At 43.6% G+C, this 24,759-nt stretch overlaps 1 protein-coding gene across 20 annotated transcripts in view, besides 2 other annotated features; it reads left to right on the forward strand.

Moving 5' to 3' along the window:
* RYR3 (ryanodine receptor 3) overlaps positions 1-24,759 on the forward strand; it is a 555,136-nt gene that overhangs the window by 409,604 nt on the left and 120,773 nt on the right. For 15 of the 20 annotated variants that reach the window (XR_001751370.2, XR_001751371.3, NM_001036.6 and 12 more), the window contains 9 exons: positions 2,145-2,325; positions 3,495-3,606; positions 5,816-5,936; positions 8,287-8,456; positions 10,904-11,124; positions 15,665-15,755; positions 17,880-18,020; positions 19,262-19,425; positions 21,796-21,874. Coding sequence is in view for 18 of the 20 variants with exons in the window: in NM_001036.6 (NP_001027.3) it covers positions 2,145-2,325; positions 3,495-3,606; positions 5,816-5,936; positions 8,287-8,456; positions 10,904-11,124; positions 15,665-15,755; positions 17,880-18,020; positions 19,262-19,425; positions 21,796-21,874 (1,280 nt within the window). In the remaining 2 variants the exon portion in view is untranslated. The remainder of the gene's footprint in view (positions 1-2,144; positions 2,326-3,494; positions 3,607-5,815; positions 5,937-8,286; positions 8,457-10,903; positions 11,125-15,664; positions 15,756-17,879; positions 18,021-19,261; positions 19,426-21,795; positions 21,875-24,759) is intronic. The other 5 variants (XM_017022469.2, XM_011521880.3, XM_017022472.2 and 2 more) reach the window with 1 other exon arrangement.
* Positions 43-1,242: an enhancer, noted in NCBI's record as "MED14-independent group 3 enhancer chr15:34012814-34014013 (GRCh37/hg19 assembly coordinates)". NCBI's record gives its function as "activates an origin of replication core promoter dependent on BRD2, BRD4, P300/CBP and CDK7 cofactors, and independent of MED14, by STARR-seq in HCT116 cells {active_cell/tissue: HCT116}" and the evidence as "EXISTENCE:reporter gene assay evidence [ECO:0000049][PMID:35650434]".
* Positions 17,481-18,021: an enhancer, noted in NCBI's record as "NANOG hESC enhancer chr15:34030252-34030792 (GRCh37/hg19 assembly coordinates)". NCBI's record gives its function as "activates a minimal SCP1, AML or CMV promoter by ChIP-STARR-seq in primed H9 embryonic stem cells {active_cell/tissue: H9 hESC(primed)}" and the evidence as "EXISTENCE:reporter gene assay evidence [ECO:0000049][PMID:30033119]".

Genomic DNA, 24,759 nt, shown 5'->3' on the forward strand with positions numbered 1-24,759 from the left:
TCAGATGCTCTGCCAGGGTGTGGTGGCTCACGCCTGTAATCCCAGCACTTTGGGAGGCCAAAGCAGGAGGATTGCTTGAGTCCGGGAGTTTGAGGCCAGCCTGGGCAACATGGTGAAACCCTGTCTTTACAAAAAAGTACAACAACAACAAAAATTAGCCAGTTGTGGTAGCATGTGCCTGTAGTCTCAGCTACTCAAGAGGCCGAGGTGGGAGGATCACTTGAACCCTAGAGGGTGAGGCTGCACTGAGCTGAGATCATGCCACTGTACTCCAGCCTGGGTGACAGAGCCAGACCCTGTCTCTTAAAAAAAAAAATGCTTTACTCACAACACTTCTAAGTTGATTCATAAAATGTTGTATTAAATAGAACTTAAACTGCTAAAATTGTTTCAAAATATGTCTATAAATTCTTTGATGCTCCTCCCTCCAAAATACAGAGCCTAATTCTCCCTTTACATGTAAGCTGGACTTAGTGACTCACTTCTAATGAATAGGATATGACTAAGTAACAATAAATGACCAGGTTATTAAAGGCAGCTTGGCTTCCGCTTTACTGTCCTTCTGGATAAGTTGTTCTGTGGGAAGCCAGCTGCCACATCATGAGAACACTCAAGCAGCCCTATGGGGAGGTCAACATGGTGAGAAACTGAGGCCTCCACCCAACATCCAGTATGCAACTGAGGCCTCTTGCCAACAGCTGTGTGAGTGAACGTGGAAACTGATGCTCCGGTCCCAGACAGGCCTTCGGAAGACGGCAGCTGCCACCTCATGGGAGATCCCAAGGCAGGACCACCTAGCTTAGCGACTTCAAAATCCCTGACCGATACAAATACTGCAAGATAACAAATATTTATTGTTCTAGCCTGCCAATATTTTGAGGGAATTTTTTGCACGAGAATAAATAATACAACAGCTTATCACATTGTAACCTCGATTATCGCTCAGTTCTCCAAGAAATACCTAGGGTATTTCTGTAGAAAAGTTTTTCTTCAAGCTTCCAGTACATAACATCAAAGTCTTGCCTTTGAGTATTGAGTTCAGGGATAAATTCTCAGACACAAATGAGGTACCTCTTATGATTTTGTAGAGTTTTTCTTTAGGCTTTAGCTAACACAACATGAAAAAAAGTCTTGCTCTTGAGTCTTGGCTCAGAGATGAATTCTCAGATACAAATTAGGATTTCATCTGAGACAGAGTTTTTTTTTTATTAAGTTGTTCGAACAAGCTACCAACCCACTTTTGAATATATGTATTGGCTCTAAGAAAGAATGGCTATCCCTAAGTGTCCAGTTCTACCACTTAATCACTTTATCAGGAAATGAGACCCTATCTTCATTATCTATGGTTCATCCAAAAACAAATGCCACAGAATACAATTCTCTAACCTCTGCCTTCCCACAGAACAAGTTTAGGAATAACCAATAAAACTTTACCAAGGAGATTCTTCATCTGGATACATGATTCCAGAAATGACCTGAAGTCCCTCCATACAAACCTGGCTGTCCTAGGTTAGGTATTAGACTCTGTGAGAGTATTAGGGTAACAGAGTCAGAAGCTGATATGTCACTTCCCCAAACGTTAATTGAAGCACACCAGCTTGAGTAACCATCTGCCTTCCTTTCAAGGAAGGAAGCAGATTTGCATGCCCTCATTGAGGTAATCAAGATGTAAAGTCCTTCTGTTCTCTGAGTCACTTGTGAATGAATCAGTATTCCATGGTAGACTCAGTAGTTTATTAACTGCCCTCTGAGGACCTAAATATATGGAAATAATCTCTACAGTACAAAATCCTGAGCCGAAGAGTAAAAACCTGCTCTGTAATGGTGGATCTTAATACTTTAAACAAACAGATCCTGACCCAATTTATCAAAGCCACCTTTTTCTCCATCAGTGTCAACTCCTAATCTCAAGAGTAGATGAGGCTGGTTCAAGTGCAGTGAGTGGGGTTTATAACTAACTGACCACAATCAGTTACAGATGTCTTAGTTCCTTCTCCACTCCCACTGCCCACTTGACTGGCCTAAACCAAAAACAGAGTAGGTGATAAGCTGAACAAAATACTGTTCTCCCAGCCTCATCAACTAGAAATAAATTCTGGGGTTGTCCTTTTCATTGAGAAGGAAACAGTGCCTGTCTTCCTCAGGTGAGAGTGTGGAAGAAAACGCCAGCGTTGTGGTCAAGCTGCTCATCAGACGCCCAGAGTGCTTCGGCCCGGCCCTGCGGGGTGAGGGGGGAAACGGGCTCTTGGCAGCCATGCAGGGTGCCATTAAGATCTCTGAGAACCCAGCGCTCGACCTCCCCTCTCAAGGATACAAAAGAGAAGTGTAAGTGAATGGAATTCCCTTCCGGCACAGATACGGTTGGTGAGCTCTCAGATATTATTGGTATACGGATGATTTAGGAGGTAATAGAGAAAGCACATGTTCTTAACAGTTACAGCTAAAACATTGACCCTTCATCGAGAACAGTGTTGTCTTAACTCTCCCAGTAAGGCTAGTGATCAGCATCACCTTCACCCCCTTCCATTTTCTCTACTCTGCTCAGCGCAGCTGGAAATCACAAAGTGGGCAAACTCTTGGCCTCCCTATAGTATCACCATGGGGTAGGAAGCTAAAGGTCTGGACCAAGGTTGTACTCCTTGTCTAACTTCAGCATGTTTCCTTCAGTATTTTGTCCCACGGTGTCTCGTCCCATACCTCATTTGTAAAAACAGATAGTGCCTCCACTTCCTCTTCTGAAAGCATGAGGACTAATTAAGAAAGTGTTTCGATTTGACTTCTAAAAATAAATAAATAAATAAATAAACCAGCTGCAAAATGTGAAAAGTCGCAGCACTGTAATGTTGTTATTTAAATGTTAAGGATATAGTTGGTAGATTGTCTGATTGTCTTACTTTCCCTTTATCAAGTCTCATGATCATGTCCCTTTCTTTATCACAGCCTTTAGGTTAGACCGTAGAATCTAGAGAGTGGGCATAACCCAGCAGCAGAAACTCTTTAGACGGTTGGCTTTTTTCTTTGTCATCAGACCTGGTAGAGCTGGAAAGGACCCTACACATACGCTTTCGCCACTTCCTCAAGCAACATGAGAAAAAAACTGAGGCCCAAGGTCATATAGCTTATTAGCAACAGAGCCAGGACAGGGACTGAGCCCTCCTGACTCTTGGTCCAATGTGTTTTCCATGTATCTTCCCCTCACAGAGAGGAAAAGGGAATGAATGGTTGGTAGGAGTTATGGTCTGATGATCAGCTCATGTCGGTACTCATGCCTTAAGATTCATGGAATCCTGTGAATGTCATGGACAAAAATTTGGGTTCCTTGAGCTTAATGAATGAAACCACTTTGTCAACTTCTAGAGGAAGACGAGGTTCCAAGGGAAAGGATGTATGATATGCAAGAAGAGCAGAGTGCTTCCATATCAAGCAGCTTATGTCTCGCAGCATGGCAGTGCCTGCCAACCTTCCTCACACCTCCCCTCTGTTGGTTCTCTCAGCAGCACGGGGGACGATGAAGAGGAAGAAGAAATCGTGCATATGGGCAATGCAATTATGTCATTTTATTCGGCCCTTATAGATCTACTGGGCCGCTGTGCTCCTGAAATGCACGTAAGTGATACAGCTTCCAGAGAACAGCTTTGAGAAACCTATGCCAAGAACACTATAGATTTCCTGAACCTCATTTCTTCCTCTGTCTCTGGCATTTGCTAACATGCCTTTTTCTAGGTCCCTTTTAGCTAGTTTCAAAAGTAGTTTCCACCTCTGATACGTGACTCTGCTGCTTTCTAGGGAGGGACTCCCGGGCAGATCCCTGTCTTGTGTGATTTCTCTGTGGCACTAGTTGAGCATGTCCTCTGCACAGTTTATTTCAAAAGCCTCCCATTTGACATGCCTCAATTTGGTCAAAATGGGAGCAACTTGATTCTGGATCATGGCCATCAGGATGCTCCATGTAGAAGATCCCTTTCCTGATGACTGTGGCGTTAGGCCCCAGGAAGGCAGACTCTTCCTGTGGTTGGTGTTTGAATTTTTCCCCCAGAGGTAGAGTTTGCAAACATCACAAAAGGATGGTTCTATTTTATGAGATGTCTTCTCAGACTTCTAGTTTTGAACTAGAAAGTATGTTCTTTTCTTTTTTCACCTCTACTGAGGGCTGAAAGAATAAGCCTTATTTCATATAAGGTCTGACATCATAAGAGAGGAAATAGCTGCTTTTCCTATGAAAAGCAACTCTAAATCTTGATAAGGGAGGCTGATCTGAATTCCTAGGATTCCAATTCCTACTATGATAAAGGACCCTTACCCACTTAGGCCTGTTTTTCCATTTCTGTGCCTTTAAGTAAATGCAGGAAACCTGGAAGGGAGCCCAGAAAACACTAAGGTGTTCTACAGTCTTGGCGGGGGTGGAGAGGGTCAGAGACCCCTGTGTGTTCGCACTCTAGCTTTCCTGATCACCTCTCATCACATCAGAAAGCACATTATAGTTTGCTGCTTCTCAAGAAGGCAGCATGGGATAGCTCAGTCACCAGAGCCCCATCTGCGGTGCCCCATTCTTCCTTCCTTACTGCCTCTCTGCTCCAACACCTTACACACACACACACACACACACACACACACACACACACACACACACACATATATACATCCCTTCTTAGGACCCCTCCTGTGGGTCCTGCCCTATCAGTGGTGAGGGAAGGATGCCATCATCACCAACCACCTCTTCTCTACCCTTGGAGATGGAGGCGGCACCAGGGTGCGTGGGCGGGCCTTCTCCTTTCCCTGGTGGCACCAAGCATCGTATCTCAGCATACCATCCAGCCCACCTGGGGACAGTCTGACCCTATGACATTCAGTTCCCAGCTGAACGCCTACTACACCCCGCCAGAGACTGCCTGTGCAGGGGGATATGCATGCACACCATTGTACGTGCTGGTTGGCCCATCAGTGTCGGGGTGGATCGGGCTACTCAAGCCGGGATAACTCCGCTGAGCCCCTCAAGTTCTCTCTGACATTCTCTACACCCTTTTTGCCCAGTCATCATCCCCAGCATTAATCAAACTCTTAGAAATTGAAATTCATAAGCCATTTCTATGTTTAACAGATTTCTAGAGGCCAGGCGTGGTGGTTTACGCCTGTGATCCCAGCACTTTGGGAGGCCGAGATGGGCAGATCACGAGGTCAGGAGATCGAGACCATGCTGGCTGACATGATGAAACCCCGTCTCTACTAAAAAAAAAAAAAAAATACAAAAAATTAGCCAGGTGTGGTGGCGGGCGCCTGTAGTCCCAGCTACTCGGGAGGCTGAGGCAGGAGAATTGTGTGAACCTGGGAGGCGGAGCTTGCAGTGAGCTGAGATCACGCCACTGCACTCCAGCCTGGGTGACAGAGCAAGACTCCATCCCCCCCCCCAAAAAAAAAAAAAAAAAAAAACAGAATTCTAGAGTCTGGCATTGTGGCCACGCTGTCAACACTTCTGTCGTGGCCACTGAGCACTTCCGGCAGTGCAGTCACATTGAGAAGCCACCAGCAGGCCGTGTAGTTATTCCTGGGGCCTGATACCACAACCTCATGGCCACTTTAATAACAGCAAAGGAATCAAGCAACGTCTTTAGTCAGTTATTTCATCAGTAGCACTCTTCTGGAAAATCAAGATGCCACTCTCCTCTTTCCCTGTGGCCACAAGTGTCTGTAGCAATTAGGGAAACATAGAAATGGACCCCTGCCCTTAAGCCGTTTTACTGCCAGAGGTTTGGAGGTGGGGTGGAGGGAGGTGTGGGAACCTCACTTATCTAATGTCATTCTCAACCCTATCTTCCAGCTCATCCAGACAGGAAAGGGGGAAGCCATCCGCATCAGGTCCATCCTGCGCTCCCTGGTCCCCACAGAAGACCTGGTTGGGATCATCAGCATCCCCTTGAAACTGCCCTCCCTCAACAAAGGTAAGGGGAGTGACTGCAGGCTGCAGCAGCAGTCTCCCAGCAGCCACTGGCTCGGGGCAGGACTCTGTCCCCAGCACAGTGGCCCCCAGGCCCTGACTTGCAGGGCGGGCTGCACAGGGCAAGTGTCTCACTCTTTTTCCTGTGATGAGTTTTCTCCTCTAGGCTCTAGCCAGCTGCTCTCTTGTCTTCTCAAGAAGCAATCTCAAAACAATAAATCGACTCCTGATTCCTAGCATTTGCCCATTTCTGTGGTATAAACTTTCTCACCATGACCAATTTCAAGCCACCAATGTAATGTCACTGAACACAGAGTTGGGAAGAAAATGGACATGGCACACCATTAGATTGTATTCCCAACACACAAATACAACTGATGCAAAAAACCTCAAGAGTATAGTTCATAGTGAAATAATTCGGAAGTAATGACTTCAATCTGCTCTCTTGTCTGTGTCAGGACAATTGTACCCTGTGTCCCACAGGTACAGACAGACCTTGCTGTCCTCCTATGAGCATGCCAACCCTCTGAGGGAGGCTGATGGAATGGGACAAGCGAAAGCTCTCACCACGGCCTCCCTTCTCGTTTTCCCCTGGGTCCCCCAGCTTGTGTAGGCAGTTGGGGCACAGACGGGCCCCCACACAGCCTGTCTTCAGCCACAGTCGCATGCCTTAGGGCTGAGGATCATAAAAGTGTTTTCCCCCAGTGCTACCTGTGACATTTGACATCAGTCAGTGTTATCTTTGCAAAACTTATACTCTCCTCGAAGTGTTGTTTCTCTGAGTCGCCTCACCCATTATCCAGGCTAATGGAAGAATTGAAAACATATGATTCCAACCGTTGTCATGTTTCCCAAACTGATATTCCACAGAAGGTTTTTGTGGGAGATATTAATAGGTGTGCATATTAATAAGGGACCCGGGGTCAAATAAGTTTAGGAAATGCTGTGGAATACATCACATCAGTATAAGCACAGTAAAATGATTACATCTCTGAGAAAACTTAAGATAAAGCAAATAGATGTTGAACTCAGTGTTTCCCAAACATAAAACACTAACTAATATCCCACCACACCAGGCACGCATGAGAGAGGAAGTCAATTTCAGCCATTCAGGGCAGGAGAGGCCGCAGCCTGCAGTCTGGAAGGCCCCTTCTCTCTGGCTCTGCTGGAACCTGACGCTGATTCCTGGGCAGGACGAGAGTCTGGGCTGGCTCGGACTTAATTTTTGTCCTCTCAGGGTTCCTTATGAAGTCCCACACTTTTCCGGTACAGTATTTAAATATGCTGTGGCTATAGCGTGCTCATTTGGGGGTCCTCTTTCCTAGTTTTTAGTGTCAACAAAACAGGAAGAGGAAATTGTTTTCTATCCTCACTCGAAATCCTGTCTTTATTCTCCAGCTCAAGCAGTTTTTATTTTCTTCATAGTATTTCCCCACTTCACCTTTGAACCTCTTGATTAAGATTAGAATTCTTGGATGACCTGATTTACATTTCACCTAAATCAGACGATTATTTCCAAATATTGCAACAGTATGTCCTCGAAGTTTATTCTATTTATGATGTAATAACTACAGACATGACATATTAAACTTAATCTGTCTTCATTCATGTTTTCTCCCTCACTTACTTAGGTTTCAAATCAACAAAGCAATAAATCGAGCCCTGATTCCTAGCATTTGCCCATTTCTGTAGTATAAACTTTCTCACCATGGCCAATTTCAAGCCACCAATGTAATGTCACTGAACACAGAGTTGGGAAGAAAATGGACATGGCACACCATTAGATTGTATTCCTAACACACAAATACAATTGATGCAAAAAACCTCAAGAGTATAGTTCACAGTGAAATAATTAGGAAGTAATAAGCTCTAGTATTTGTTACCTTTTTTAAATATCTACTTAATTGTAAATTCTAATTTTTAATAATGAGCATGTTTAACAACTGGCTGGAATTTTAAACTGGCTTTTCAACAAAGTACAAGCTGCCTTCAGCGCAGCACTGTACAGATTGAGTATTCCTTATCCTAAATGCTTGGGACTAGAAGCGTGTTGGATTTTTTTGGATTTTGCAATATTTGCGCTATACTTACCTGTTGCATATCTCAAATCTGAAAATCCAAAATCCAGAATACTCATGAGCATTTCCATTGAGCATCATGTTGGTGCCCAAAAAGTTTCAGATCTTGGTGCATTTCAGGTTTCAGATTTTTGGATTTGAGATGCTCAATCTGTATTTTTCCAAAAATTCTTGTCCCTTATAGGGAGAATAAGCTATAGACAGACAAGCTCTGTGTTATCTTTTGAGACTTTGGAGACAGGAAAAGGGAAATTACATTTTCTATGTGTCTTTCAGATGGGTCGGTCAGTGAGCCAGATATGGCGGCCAATTTCTGCCCTGACCACAAGGCACCTATGGTGCTGTTCTTGGACCGCGTTTATGGCATTAAGGATCAAACTTTTCTGCTCCACTTGCTGGAGGTTGGATTTTTACCTGACCTAAGAGCTTCTGCCTCTCTAGATACAGTAAGTTGCAAAAATAACAAAAAATTATTGTTCCCATCATTGTGAAATTAGTAATGTTGGACTTCGAAGCAAATATTTTCTCTTTACTCACCAATTACATTTTAATAGCTTACTTTAATGGGTGAGAAAATAGAGGTATCATGAAATGGAAGATCTTAATTTATTGGGCCAGAGACTTAGATATAGGTCAATTTGACCCCAAATCCAACTCCCTCAATTGCAGAGTTTTTTTAACCTTGACAGTAAATGTTAAGGGGCTATCCTGTGCATTGTAGAACGTGTAGCAACATCCCTGGCCTCTACCCACTAGATATCAGTAGCACCCCAGTTCACCGCGAATCCCTGCCAAAATCAATTTCAGATATCACCAGATGTCCCCTCGGGGACAAAATCACCCTCTGGTGAGACCGTGTCTCTATTGCCTTTGAAAAAGGCTGGCTGGCAACATTATAGGCTGACATTACTCTTCACACTCTCGCTTCTTAGTTTCATGTACTGACCACCAGGATGGATAGGTCTGAAGCCAGGGGCCTGACGAAGGTCAATACAAGAGGACAAAGGCAAATATAAGTTTGGAAATCAAGGGTGAGATAGATAAGGTAGTTCACCATCAACAAACATCAAGAGAGGAGGCCCCTAGAGTTACAAAGCTCAGATACGAGATGCCACAAGTCAGAACTAAGCAGAAAAAGGTACACCAGGAGTCATAGGTCCAAGGAGAAAAGACAAACTAGATCTGCGTAAGTCTAAAAAACATCTTTCCAGTTTAGTGTTGTTTTTAGTTATAACATTTCTCAAAGGCTCCACCTGGTGTCCAACAGAGACAGAAATCTGAGCTCTGTGATGGGTTGTCAGCGGCAAATACCTTAACTTGGATGGATTCCACCTGCATGGGTTATCCAGAAATGGAAAGAAATATGAGCCCCAACCTGAGTGGGAGCTGCATTCCCATGTGTGGTATGGTGATGATAAATGGTATATATGACAGTATTAGGGTATACGATCCCTAATACTGAATAACCCAGTCTAACCCAATGTTTTGATATAATAAAACAATGAATAATTTTTTATTCATAATGAATAATTATGAATAATTATTTGTGAATAATTAAAACAATGCTTCTGCCACTGCTGTTGTTTTGAACTTTTCTATAAATTATTTGATTTTAAAAATAATTTTCTTAACTCATGGGATCTCCCCAAGCTTCCTGATCAAATAATTTAATGTTTTTATAAATCAAATAAACAGCAAATGCTATTCTAGTATCTGGTGTTCAATCACATGTTTGTCCAAACACCATCTACAACAAAAAGGTGTTATATTCAGTTCATTAACACATAGACATTCATGCATTCTCTTTTGAAAACTTATAATCTACTGAAATCAAAGCTCTGTCCTTTCTCGTTTTAAGTCTGTATATTAAAGTGATAAATGTGAAAGATTAGCTGTTTCTCCCAGCATGATTACTGAAGTTTCTAGGAGACAAACTTGATAATTTAGATAATTTATAGGAACAATGAGACATGTATATAGTTCAAAGAAAATGGTTTTTCAAATCATAAGTTATATAAAGTGTGTTACAGATAGAATGACTGCAGGAATCACAGGAAATGGCAATATTTCATCTCTGTGGATCTCAAGGTTTCTTTCGAAAGTTCTATAGTTTTCAAAGATGGTGGTAAAGCATGCTTTGGCTATACTTAGTGTCACTAAATGGGTTTTCCTTGTATTCCATTCATCCGTCTAAATGTACATCAAAGAGCATTGTAAGCAAGAACTATGTTAGAGTTGTACAGAAGGTCCCAAGTTTCTGTTCCTTTTCCACGTTGCCCATGCAGAGTCAGGTTCCCTTTAGTGGGGTCTACTCTAATGTCAGTATTGATTGTGAATTGCTCGAAGTGCTCACCAATTAACTGAAAGGAGTCAGAGTTCCACTTTCGCTTTCACAAAACTGGTGAATTTGAGAAACTGCTTGGCCTATAACCATTCACTAATCTTACAGTTGTAAAATTACAGTGTGTGAGTCCCTGGTAGGTGAGAAAAGAGAGCGAAAACCAGAATAGTAATGTAGTATCCTGGCAACTAGACTTTGCAAGCATCAAAATGTTGGGTTAGACTGGCCATCAGCTGATTTTAATGAGTTCAAAATTCTTTTGAAGGGAACAGATATTTATAGGATCATTTGGGAAGACTTAGAGCCAGCTAGCCTTTGTTATGATTTTTTTGTGTGTTTTTTTTTTGTTCTTTCTTTTAACTTGATTTTTTTTCATTGAAAATGCAAAAAGAAAAATAGAACTGCCGATAAGGTAGAAAGTTGTTCACTGCCTTGCTATGCAACGTGGACATATATAAGCTCCCACAGCTTGCTACATGGGAACTCTGTGCAGAGCCAGCTTTGCTCTGTTCCTCAGGGCAATTAACCTGTGTCCCAATCTTCTTTCTCTAGGTTTCCCTAAGCACCACAGAGGCTGCGCTTGCACTAAATAGGTATATATGTTCTGCTGTGCTCCCGCTCCTCACAAGATGTGCCCCTCTCTTTGCCGGAACAGAACACTGCACCTCTCTGATTGATTCCACACTGCAGACAATATACAGGCTATCCAAGGGACGTTCCCTCACCAAAGCACAAAGGGACACTATAGAAGAATGTTTGCTTGCCATTTGCAAGTAAGTACATATCCTATGTTGTTACTTCTGTGTATGCATCCAGGTCAACTGCATTTTCCTATGTAATCTAAAAACTGGTGGTCTAGTCTAAGGAAGCTTCCAGGCCATTGTCATACACCAGCCCTCCCCCAGACATCTCATAGGATGTGCTCGGCTCCCCTATTTGCCACAGGCTCTTCCTTGAGGCTCATCTTTCCCTTTGGGGGAAGGGAGAGGGCACAGCTCAGGCTTTACCCATTACGGTTGATGGACCAGAAGACTATTTCAGGCCTAAACTGTTCAGATTAAGGGCTGTCTTCATTCTCTTCATTCTCAAGATAGAGCCAGAAGCAGATGTGTCTGTCCTCTACATGAGCATATCTTACATAGAAGCCAGACTCTGAGTGTGAATAAAAGCAACCTACCGGCTGGGCACGGTGGCTCACGCCTGTCATCCCAGCACTTTGGGAGGCCGAGGTGGGCAGATCACGAGGTCAGGAGATCGAGACCATCCTGGCTAACACGGTGAAACCCCATCTCTACTAAAAATACAAAAAAAAAAAAAATAGCCGGGTATGGTGGCAGACGCCTGTAGTCCCAGCTACTCGGGAGGCTGAGGCAGGAGAATGGCGTGAACCTGGGACGTGGAGCTTGCAGTGAGCCGAGATCATGCCACTGCACTCCAGCCTGGGCGACAGAGCAAGACTCCATCTCAAAAAAAAAAAAAAAGCGACCTACCTCTAGGCCTCCCAAGACCAGCAACAAATGAAAGAAAAAACCTCCAGTCACAGTGGGGAATTAAAGGCAATAATTTTTATGACTGCAGATGGGCATCAGAGCCAGCTGAGGACAAAAGGTAAAGTCACCCCAAGAGCCTTGGGTCTTCAGGAATCTAAGTCAAGTCTGGTAGAATCCAAGGAAGACGACCCTTTCAACAGGTCTTAGCAGCACAGGCCAAGACTATGATCTGCTATTTTTCAGCCAGTGTTTTTCCTTCTCACCTGCATATCAGAAATGCCTGATGAGTTACGAAATAAATATCCCAGTGCCCAGGCCACATCCGAGCCCAAAAAGTCAAAACTGTTAGGGATGGGACCCAAGATTCTGGCTTTTGAAGCTTCCCAAGTGATTCCAATATGTAGTCCAGATTAGGAATCACTGCTGTAGGGCACTCCAGAGAGAGGATCAACAGCCTTCCCCCTTTAGGGGCCAGCTGAGTATGGTCTTGATTTCTTGTTGAATGAGTTCTTTTCTAATCACAGATGAAATTACTATGCATTGGGGAGCTAGGGCTACCTGGAAAAAAAAACTCATCGGTCCTCACATCGATGTGAGTAGAACATCACACCAAAAGGTAATCTCAGCAATGAGATAGCACTACACACATATCAGAATGGCCAAAATGCAGAACACTGACAACACCAAATGCTGGCAAGGATGTGGAACAACAGGAACTGTCATTCATTGCTGGTGGGAGTGACAATGGTATAGTCACTTTGGAAAGTAGTTTGTCAGTTTCTTACAAAACTAAATATACTCTTAACTATATGATTCAACTATCTTACTCCTTGGTTTTTTTACCCAAATGAGTTGGAAACTTATGTCCATACAAAAACCTGTATGCAGATGCTTGTAGCAGCTTTATTCATAATTGCCAAAACTTGGGAGCAATCAAGATGTTTCTGAGTGGGCGAATGGATAAATAAACTGTGGTACATCAGACCATGGAATTTATTCAGTGCTAAAAAGAAATGAGCTATCAAGCAATGAAAATACATAGAGGAACCTTAAACCCATATTACTAAGTGCAAGAAGCTAATCCGAAAAGGCTACATGCTGTATGATTCCAACTATATGGCTTTCCGGAAAAGGCAAAGCTAAGGAAACAGTGAAAAGATCAGTGGTGTCAGGGGTTGGGGGAGGGAGAGATGAACAGGCTGAGCACAGAGAATTTTTAGGGCAGTGGAAACAGTATAATGATGGATGTATGTCATTAAATACTTGTCCAAACCAATAGAATGTACAACACCAAGAGTGAACCCTAATGTAAATTATGAAATTTGGGTGATAACGATGTTTCAATATAAGTTTATCAGTTGTCACAAATGTGCCACTGGTGAGGGATAATGATAATGGGGAAGGCTGTGCCTGTATGGGGCCAGGGATATATGAGAACTCTGAGTACCCTTTGCTCAATTTTGCTGTGAACCGAAAACTGCTCTGAAAAATAAAGCCTGTTACAAAACAGTTTTAAAATGTTGTAAAAAGGATAATCTCATGCTTATATTTCAAATATAACAATGATCACTATGTTTAAAATGCTTTTTAAAATTAAGCTGTATCTACTGTCTTTGTATTGTCTAAGGCCTACAGGCTTTAACTGCTTTATGGAACAAGCTGTGTCATTGCATGGTATTATTTTCTTGGGGTGGGGAGTAAAGGCTGGTTGATGGGAAGGAGGCCTCGACCCAGGCCCCAAAAAGGGTTTTCTCCCAGAGATCTCCTTCCCAAACCAGGCCTAATATTATGTTACTGCTTCATTCAACACAAGATTTTTATGATAACTGGCAGACAATTAAGCTAATTAGAATATTTTTGATCTTTCAAGAGAGACAAATTTCAGTGGACACACCAATTAACCTCCAGGAATTAATAAGGTACCTAGGTTTTGCACTTTGCCGCTTCAAAAGGAAGATTAATGCCCCATTATTTGTTTTTATGAGCCTCTATTTTCTTAACGGTAGAAAATGGAGTAAATAATGAGTTTACACAAAAAGAAATCGTTTCCATCAGCTTTAATTTGTAATTGGTTGGTAATGCATCAATAACAGCTGCGATCGTGTTCCACCTTTTGCTGGAGCTGAACTCCAGGTGTATTTTAGAAACCACATCAACCAAGGACCCCTGCCTCCCAACATAAGCTGTTTCCTAATAACAAAGTCGCATTGGTGAGACTGATTTGAGCTGCAAATATTTCTAAAGAATCAGACTTTGGAGAAATTCGATTTTTTTTTCTTTTTTTTTTTTTTTTTTTGAGACAGAGTCTCGCTCTGTCGCCCAGGTTGGAGTGCAGTGGTGCCATCTCCACTCTCTGCAAACTCCGCCTCCCAGGTTCACACAATTCTCCTGCCTCAGCCTCCTAAGTAGCTGGGACTATAGGCACCCGCCACCACGCCTGGCTAATTTTTTGTATTTTTAGTAGAAAAAGGGCTTCACCATGTTAGCCAGGCTGGTCTCGAACTCCTGACCTCAGGTGATCACCCCACCTTGATCTCTCGAAGTGCTGAGATTACAGGCGTGAGCCACCGCGCCTGGCCGAGAAATTGGAATTTTACATCAAACAAAAAGTAGAGCTCACAGCCCCTATTACTGTACTTTTAGAGCTTTTCTTCTTGATCACTTGAGCTCTAGATGTAGCAGGCAAACTGATACTTAACTAGGTTTTTTCATTGTTTATTTTAATAAGTCAGGAATTCACAGAATTACAGACTTATTGCACTCTTTGTATTCAAGTTAGTGAATCTTAGGTGACAATTGCTAATTAGCTGAATAATTGAAACATTGAGTGATTTTTGCATTCTAACTATTGGATTCTGAGACAAGGCTACTTACTTGCTGTGTATTTTCACCCTGGGGCTTTTTATCACAAGGCCAGCTCCAGAAACAGTTGTGAAACAGACGACTTTTGTTCTCCATCTGCATACATCCTTCTTATTGTAGATGCTCCAAGGATTTCTTCCCTGGCATTCCAACATTTAACAAAGGGGTGTCAGCTTTACCTCCTTAGCTCCTTAGGCAATAGTGGAAAAAATCCAGGGATTCATGAGCTGAACTTATATACCAAATTGTGTTTATGTGTGTACACCTTTCTCTGGAGAAAACCATAGGTTCCACTAGGTTTTTTTTAAAGTTTGGCAATGTAAAAAAAGCAAAATTCGTGTTGCTTATCTCTCCTTTCTCTACCTCAAAATTTATTTGTGCCATGAACTCTGTAATTTGATAGATTATTCTTTAAATAGTTACTGTGTTTGCCTATTAACGGAGTTGTTTTGAGAACAAAGCCTTACCCCAAACAAATGATTCCAGTAGTGAGAATTTCATGGCCCAGATCATAAGGCGGAGGGCTTTAAAGTTCTCTTCAAATCGCACCAGTAGGTGGCCTCAGATTCCACCTGTGCAGCTGCTCAACGCCAGTTTCTCCCTCTGCAGAGTTCAGGGGACCTTAGAGATGACTAGAAAATGAACTGCACCTTCTTTCTGTTATATTCTTTGCACATAATCAGTGACTATATTTTGAGTATGCATATATCCTAGAACATTTTGTCACATAGCAATTAGAATTCCACTTCGGGTATCCCAATTCATTAGCACTCTTTTTCTGAATTTTAACTGTACTCTTTTCAAGTGTTTCATCATCTACTCTTGTTTATCCGAGATCTTGTGTATTAGGAGCTGTTTTGAGGCTTGGCTGTAATATGCTTATTGTTCAGTGTTTCTTTCATTCCTCCTTTATTATTATGTTTTCATTTTATTTATCTACGTTTGTCATTTCATACTGCAGTCACTTGAGGCCTTCCATGTTACAGCAACTCCTGCGACGCCTCGTTTTTGATGTGCCGCAACTCAATGAATACTGCAAAATGCCTCTCAAGGTAAACATCACTATTGTTACAGAAATACAGTCTATTGCACAGGAAACTTGCCTTGTAATATGTGATGTCTTCACAATTTAGAAGGAAAAATACATGCTAAATGGGTTTTACTCCCTTAAGTTGATGGTTAGCTAACAAGATAGATCCCACAAAACCAAGTCCTTTCTTGAATGCCGAGGTTGAAGAAAATTGCTCCAATTTTCTTTAACTGCTTTCCACTGACTGCTTGATATTTAGCTGCATTTAATACGAGGACTTAGATTTTGTGCTTCCCCAATGTAATTAGGTTTTCAGATTGTGTTCATCTCAAAAAGCTTTGAAGGCCCTGTGGTTTTTCATTAAATTGATTAAAATGTCCCTTTTCTATTCCATACTGTTTTGTGCTTTTCTTCTTTGTAAGAAATCTTTTTTGTTTGTTTGTTTTCTACTTTTTTTTTAAATGAGATGGAGTCTTGCTCTGTCACCCAGGCTGAAGTGCAGTGGTGAGATCTCAGCTCACTGCAACCTCTACCTCCCAGGTTCAAGCAATTCTCCTGCCTCAGCCTCCTGAGTAGCTGGGACTAGAGGCACATGCTACTATGCCCAGCTAATTTTTGTGTGTTTGTTTGTTTTTTAGTAGAGATGGGGTTTCACCATGTTGGCCAGGCTGGTCTCAAACTCCTGACCTCAAGTGATCTACCTGCCTCAGCCTCCCAAAGTGCTGGGATTACAGGTATGAGCTACTGTGCCTGGCTCTCTTTCTTAACAAAAAGACCACAGACCCCTCTCTTTTATTATTATTTTTTTGAGACAGAGTCTCGCTCTTGTACTCACACTTGAGTGCAGTGGCACAGCCACGGCTTACTGCAACCTTGAGCTCCCGAGTTCAAGCAACCCTCCCTCCTCAGTCTCCCAAAGTGCTGGGATTACAGCAGGTGTGAACCACCATGCCTGGCCTTCCCTTTTTTTTATTGTCTTGTTTCTGGTTTTCTCATAAATTACAAATATTTTATCACTAGAGGCATCTGGGCCTGGTGGGAGGACACCAGAATCAGTCATCCACCCAAGCAGACAGTGTTTTTTACCTTTTATCTCTGAGGCACCTGCCATATTCCCATATGCAAAAGTGTTAGCAATGGCTAGCCACACCTGAAAATCCTACCTAATGATTTTAACAGCACTTTCCTTTATAGTCCAAGCGAGCATTTCAGGCAGCATTTTACTGTGCTAACAAGAATTCCCAGAGGGCTTTAGTTCAATCCCCTGTCTTCATGCCAGGCAGAAAACAGTTTGTATGTTCTTAGAGATTCCACAGTCCTCCAAGGGCTAATTCTACTCTCTAGCAGCCCCAGTTTTCATCTCAAAAAAATACTTTAACTGAAAACCATAGTTAAAGTATTACCATCTTAATTTGGTATTGCTTCCTCTGCAAGCCTTTGCTGCCAGCTGGATACTGGCTTTGAAGAGGCATTATTGATATCACTCAATAAGCTCACTTTTACCTCTCAAATCTGTGGGATTTTTCTTGGAGGACATGGATCACACCTGCTGGGATGGAAACATTACTGGTAACTTCTGCCCTCTACTGGCGAGATGTGAAACTGCTGTAAAGTCACTGGGGTGTGAGAGAGGGGAGAGGGAGCGGGCACGGGGAGTGGGGGCAAGGAAACAACGGGTAGTAATTGACGAGAGAAAATCTTCAGACCCACGACTTGCAGCCCACCATCCTCTCCCCATATCAGCATCCCCCAAAGATCTTCCAGAATTACAAGCAAAGGTCCCAGAAGAAATTATTTCCACCCCTGACTGGCTAGAACAGCTCACAGTGGCTACTTTCAGAAGGTAGCACTTTCTGGTGTGAACTAGAAACGGCTCCTCTCCATTTCCTAGTAACTGCTAGGGGGCACATTAGGAGGCATAAGAATTAATCAGGCAGATCCGCTCAGGCTCAAGCTGACTGTTCCCAGCTTGAGAGCAGACTGTTCCCAGCGGTGTTTGAAGGGCCTCTTTGTAGACAGCCCAGCTGTTTCGCATGTTTCATTCTCATGGTCTCTGCTTACTACTTGATTCTCTCCTGCATGTTTTTGATGCCTGTGGACTTTCTCTATGCCACCCCGCTGGTCTGTCCTGTTCTGCACCTCCCAGCTTCTGACGAATCACTATGAACAGTGTTGGAAGTATTACTGCCTGCCTTCAGGATGGGGGAGCTACGGGCTAGCTGTGGAAGAAGAGCTGCACCTAACGGAGAAGCTTTTCTGGGGGATTTTTGACTCGCTCTCCCATAAGGTAATGACAGTACTTTCTGAACAAAAAGAGAGCATCTCAGTGCTCCAGCATCTACAGATAATAACAGCCGTCATCTGTTTAGCATTCCATTTGCCAGGACCTGTGCTAAGTACTTCACAAGCATATTACGCCAATCCTTGCCCATCTCTCTGAAATGGAAACTCTCAAAATCCTTATTTTACAGGTGAAGAAAAGCCTCAGAGTAGCTGAATAAATTTTCACATTCACAAAGCTGTACGAGGGAAAGTGACTACCAGAGTGAATTCCACACAGATCATCTGATGTCAGTCTTTGATGTCTTACCTCCCCATTCGTTTCCCCCTGATTTGGTGTGGCTCCTGTCTGCCAACCTTCACTAGGCTCGAGCCAAGAGGAAAAGTCCTGACATCTGCTGTGATGGTGGGACAGGGGATTTCCAGAAGACCTTAAGCCATTCTGGGAGAGGTTCTTTGCAAGCACTCATTTGAGGAGGCTTCGAGTGAGAACTGAGAGCCTCTGAATCCCAGGCCTTACTTGAACGGTGTGATTGAAGTAGAGCTCTGACTCTTAGACTTTGCTCCACTTCCCCTAACCCAGTTTGTGAGGTCAGGAGCTTTAAAGGTAGAAAATGAGTAGGTCTGGTTTTCTTAGAGAAATCTAGAACATGCACATAGCTTGTTCACCTGCACTTAAATTTTCTTTACCCCTGGATTTCGTTGGTCTAGTATAAGCAGATCAAAAGCTCTTCCCAACCCCATGCCATTTGACTGAAATTCATTTCTGGCTGGGTTCAAGAGAGAATGATGGATATTGAGCAGCCTGCTGATGATGTCAACATATGACCCATATCAGCTACTGCAGAGCTTGGCACAGCTTACTGTGCCCTCTCCAGTTATAAGTTGGGTCCGTTTCTGTGACCATCCTTAGCAGACAAGTTTATAGTCACCTTCTGGCCTAGCGCCTAGTCACTTTAACCCTTAGGTAGTCTTGAAATTAGTCATTTAGGAGATATTGATTTAAGCCTGTTTTAAGATTTTTCAACTTAAAGCAAATGGTGACTTGAGGATTTATAGTGTTATTTCATTTTCCAAGGATACCTGCATTTCCACCAGAAAATATTTAAGGGGTTACACATTTCCCGTTTTGGTTAACCTGGATAAATGCGCGTATTTTATTTCTGTTTTCAGCTGATTGGTGATTGGTTCTGTCTAAAGGCATGGTTCTGCTTTCTCTACTAATGTGGCCTTGTTTTTCCCTCACAGAAATATGACCCAGATCTTTTCCGAATGGCCCTGCCTTGTCTCAGTGCTATAGCTGGGGCCTTGCCACCAGATTATTTAGATACCAGAATCACAGCCACGTTGGAGAAACAGATCTCAGTGGATGCGGATGGCAACTTTGACCCAAAACCTATTAACACCATGAAGTGAGTCCAGAATCATCTCTGAGCTGGTGCTGTATTTTGTCCAATAGCCAATGTTTTCTTCCAGAGGGTAGCAAGAAATGTGAGCTTTACCTCTTTCCCTCCTGCCAACACTGTTCATCATTTCTCTTGATGTGTCAAGTCCCATCAGGCACAAGGTTTAATCCATACATATCTGTATTATTATATTCTGGGTTTTTGGTGGGGGAGGAAAGGGTTGGTTTATTTTTTACCAGAGATAGACGTTCCCACACATAAATATCTCCTGAGGCACTGAGAGAACTACCCTGACAAATTATGCAATTAATTTATTAATGAGCTTTTTGACAATATCTTTGCTCATGGTGAATTAGGCTCATATGGTTCTAATAGCATCATACATCACAACAGCTCCATAAATAACACTCAGCTGTGTCCTGGCAAGGCTGCGGTGTGATGGCAGAACAGTGTGGGGTCCTCACTGGAAAAGCTGGACCTGCTCTTTGCCATGCCGAGGGATGCTGGAGCTTCAGAATAGCCCTACCATTGCACCTTTTACTTTCTCCCTGTAATTTTCCAGAATTTCTCACTGGTGTTGACTAGGCCATGGAGGTGTGCTTATCCCTTGGGCAAAATATTGCTAAGTTTTGGCTTGTGGTAGTTCTGCCCAGTTATGAATATGCGCTGTAGGGTATACAGTCAGCTCCAGGTGCATTTTAAATGAAGAGCTCTAAAACTGCTTCAGAGTGAGCAGGGAAAGTAAGCCTGAGCCTATATGAGCCCCTTGGACCTGTCCTTCATGGCAGTAGTTCTCAAATGAAAGCCTGAACCCTTCCCAGGGGGACTGTCTGCTTTGATCATGTGTAACATTCGTCTTTGGGACAATTAAACACACATTCCGTTGGAAAGAGCTTTGAGCTGTGGGGATGGTGAGACAGAATTGAAACTGCTGTTAAGTAAGAGGTAAGAAGCATGGTGAACCATCAAGCTTGGGCCAAAGAAGGCAGGTGCTGACTTGGGAGGGCTCTGCCTATAAAAAGGGAACAGTGCTAAAGAAAGACAAAGCAAATGGCGTAGTAACTTGGATGCTTTTGAAAACGTTCTGAGAAAACATTATACTCTAGCAACTGTGTGTTAATGGCTCTGTGTTATTTTGAGAGTTCAGATTTATTCCAGTGTACCTGTGACATCAACATAGTTCCTTGAGGAATGTGAGGAATGGAGACTAACCCTGGCTTAAGGAGAAAAGCACCTTATTGCAAGAATATGGGGTCATTATCAAGACCTAGTGAAAGGCCAACCTGGCCTTAGCACGCATAGTCACCAGGGAAGGACTGCAATCAGGCACAGGGAGGAAATCGACAATCTTCAGGTGTCCCCATTGGGTAAATCACCTTGAAGAATTTACTGCCCTAGTTTCACCCAACTCAAGACTTAAATTCCGTGGAGAGAAAGTCTGATTTGCCCAGTCATATGCCCATCCTTGGTGACAGTTCACATAACACTGCATGCAATATAAGACTGTGCAATGCAAAGGGAATGTAGGTGCTGATACCAACAGAAGGGACAAGAGCTGTTTTCTGGGAAAACAGAAATAGCAGGTGTCTACTGTACTGCCAAAATTCTAGTTTTGTTTTGTTTTGTTTTGTTTTGTTTTTTTGAGATGGAGTCTTACTCTGTCACCCAGGCTGGAGTGCAGTGGTGCCATCTCAACTCACTGCAAGCTCCACCTCCTGGGTTCACGTCATTCTCCTGCCTCAGCCTCCTGAGTAGCTGGGACCACAGGCACCAGCCACTACGCCCGGCTAATTTTTTTGTATTTTTAGTAGAGACGGGGTTTCACCGTGTTAGCCAGGATGGTCTCGATTTCCTGACCTCATGATCCATCCACCTCGGCCTCCCAAAGTGCTGGGATTACAGGCGTGAGCCACAGCGCCCGGCCCCAAAATTCGAGTATTTTACCATGAGCCACTGAGCCCCAAAAGGTAGAAAACCACTATTTCATAACATACGGCTCTCTGGCTACCCATTTCTACCATTTCCAGATTGTAGCCAGAGGATGACAGGCCATTTACCTTGGATTCTCGCTGTCTAACCAAGACAGGTCTGGCCCAGGAGCCAAGAGACCCTGGAGCACATGGCAGGAGGCCTTCCCAGCCAAGGCTCCTGCAGAGATGTTCCATGGTTAGACTTGGGTGCGTCCGTGACCTAACCCTGGCTATGCCACCCCTACTCAGGAATGTCACTGCGCCTGGAGTCCAGCTTTAGCTTTGGGATTGGCTGGCTGATCAAATCCACCTTCTGACAGCTGGTTGATTGGTAGTTCTGACTATCTTCTACTATGTCTGGCTGAAGTGCTTGGGGAGGTTGTAATTTTTTTTCCTCATTTCACAGTTTTTCCTTGCCTGAAAAATTGGAATACATCGTCACCAAGTATGCTGAGCATTCACATGATAAATGGGCCTGTGACAAGGTAGGGATTATCATCCAACTGACAATCGTCAGGAAGGAAAAACAGCCCAAGAACATTAAAGGGCCCAGTCCTGGAAATCTGCCTGATTTGTCTAAGTAACAGATTTTCCATGCCGAGAGCATTCATTATTTCTGAGCAGCAATTTCCCAGGGTTGGTGGAGGTCAAAGAAATAGGTGACAGCAGCTGCTGGTGTTGCTTTTGTATTTCTCAAGAAAATGATCAATTCTGGAAGTGTTAACTTCTTTCTTAACATTTACTTACTGGAGTTGTGCCCAAACACAGGCTTGTATGTGTTTGACGTAAATGCTTAATGGGAATGGGAAGGCTGCTATTTAATTTTTGTCTTTGAATGCAGATTGGAAAAAAAAAATGAAATTGAAAGCCTAACCCTTACATGTTTCTGGAAGGCTGGATTTTATTCTAGGGAAGACATGCAATCGTCTTCTTATGGTAGGCAGTGGTAGAACTCCCAGACACTCCCTTATTAATAAGGCTCTCCATCTGGTGTTTAAAATTCCTCACCACATGAGGTCAGGCTGTTTAATAAGTTTCATTGCTGTGTCAACCCTTTAACACTGGCAGGCAAAGTGGGAAGACTGTGCCAAGGATATCCAGGATTCCTGTGGGCAGCCAGTTAAGGATTGGGGCCATTTCTCAGCTGCAGCCTACGGTGTGTAACAGTGGACCCATGTCCACAGCAAAGCCACAGAAAACCACCTCCATACAATGTGCCCACAGAGAAGGGACACCTTGAACCACCAGCTCAGCCTCTGTGTGGATGTAGGCTCAGCTCGTCCTTCCAGGAGTCTACTGGGAGCTGATGATAACAGCTATCATTGTAACTGTAGAACGGGCTAATACCTCATGATTCTAAAACAGGAGTTGGCAAATCTGTTCTGTAAAGGGCTGAATGGTCAACATTTGAGGCTGCAAGGGCCAGACCATCTCCATTGCAACAACTCCACTTGGCCGTTGCGGCACAAAAGTAGCCATAGAGAAAACATAAACAAAAGTGGGTGCCTGTGTTCCAATCACATTTTATTAATTAAAAAAAGGTGGCCAGCTAGATTTGGCTTAGGGGGCATAGCCAGGTGGCCCTTGCTCTAGAGCATCTGCGTTTTCTGAGAACTCCTTGCTTATGGCCGTTTGGCCAGCCTGTGAATTAGGGAGAAGAGTCACCTCCAGGAGCCCACAGCATTAGCCAAGCCATCACTCAACCATGTGGATTTGAACTCCCGAGTCTCTCTTATATCTGTATATTTGTCTCTGTTCTTATGACTTCAGTCCAAGCTGCCATCGTCTTTCACCCAGACGACTGGGATAAGCTCCTTGCAGGTCTCCTCAAGTGCATTTGCCCAGTCTGTTCTTCATACTGCAAGCAAGTCAGAATTTCAGTACACAAATTGAATCATACATATTCTACCACTGCTTCTCCTACCCAGCCCCTCTCCTTGTTAAAATCCTTTCATAATTTCTAACTATTCTGAAGACAATGGTCAAAATCTTTGGTATGGCCTGGTAGGCACTGCCTGATCTGACCTCTGCTACCATCTGTAGCCTCATCTCCTCCTTTGCCCTCTGCCCTCCAGCCACCTCCCCTTATTTTAGACTCACTCTCTCATATGCACTACACATGCCAGAGACCCTCCTCTGCCTGAGCCTGCCAGATACCCGCCTGTACTCACACACATTCTCACAGCGTTCACCAACTCATCCTGCAAATATCACTCCAAGCATGAATTCCTAGGATGGCATTTTTCAGATTTCTCAGCTCTGGGCCCTCTTAGCACCTTGTTCTTCTCTTTCATAGTACTTTCGTAGCACGCTTAGGTATTTGTATTTATAACAGTTAAACATCTACACATTTATTCTATTTATCAATTTTACATTCACTTGTATGGTTATTTGATTGATATCTCTTTCTGCCACTAGATTGTAAGCTTCATGAGGGCATAGATACATGCTGCTCACCAGTACCAGGCGGCGCTGATTATCTCACAAGAAAAAGAGTATTTTCCTTGCCCTCAAAAGCCTCATGATCTTGTGGGAGAAACAAAATGAACCAGCCATTGTGGGGCAGCTTGTTCAGGGCTATGGTGAGCATGAGCACAGGATTAGAACACATAGGAGTCCCTAATCCAGTACCGGGGGTCCAGGGACACCTCCCAGAGTTGGTGACATCTACAGCATTTGCTAAAGGATGAGTGGGAGCCATTTGTCACAAGGAAGTAAGCGCGCTGCCGGCCTTGGGAACAGCAGGTGCAGACCCAGGGAGGCAAGAGACAGTTTGGCTTTAGGGAACCATGGTTCAGTATAGCTAGGACATGGAGTAGGATGGGTACAGAGGGTGAGAGATAAGTCTGGAGAGGTCAACATGATCACCTTTTTAGGTTTACAGGTCATTTGAAAACATGTGGGTTTTACCAGGATGGCAGCTTGCTGTTGGAAACATTCGAAGTCAGTAGTGTGCCCACAAATGATTGTGATTTTTGACTATCCCCTGACAATAGTGTAGAAAATGAATCCATGGAGAGGCAGCAAGACTGGAGGCTGGGAGGCTGCTTAGGAAGCTCTTGCAGTAACCCCAGTGAGAGCTAATGGTGGCCTGAACTAACATACTAGCAGGGAAGTGGGTGAGAGAGACAGACAGACAGACAGACAAATGATGGGAGGGGTACAGGCAGTGGTGTCAAGGAGGACTCCCATGTCATTGGCTTGGAAAGTGAGCATAAGCTGGGGCTGTTCACTCCACTTCATCCAGGGGACCCACGAGGAGACATGTAGAGAAGTAATTTGAGGGGTGCCTGTGGAACATCCAAGCAAAGCTTAAATAGGTTTGAAACTAGGAGGGAGTTTCTGCGCTGGAAGTACTGATTTGATACTA

Source organism: Homo sapiens, chromosome 15 (genome assembly GCF_000001405.40).
Source record: "Homo sapiens chromosome 15, GRCh38.p14 Primary Assembly".
Classification (NCBI taxonomy): Eukaryota; Metazoa; Chordata; class Mammalia; order Primates; family Hominidae; genus Homo; species Homo sapiens.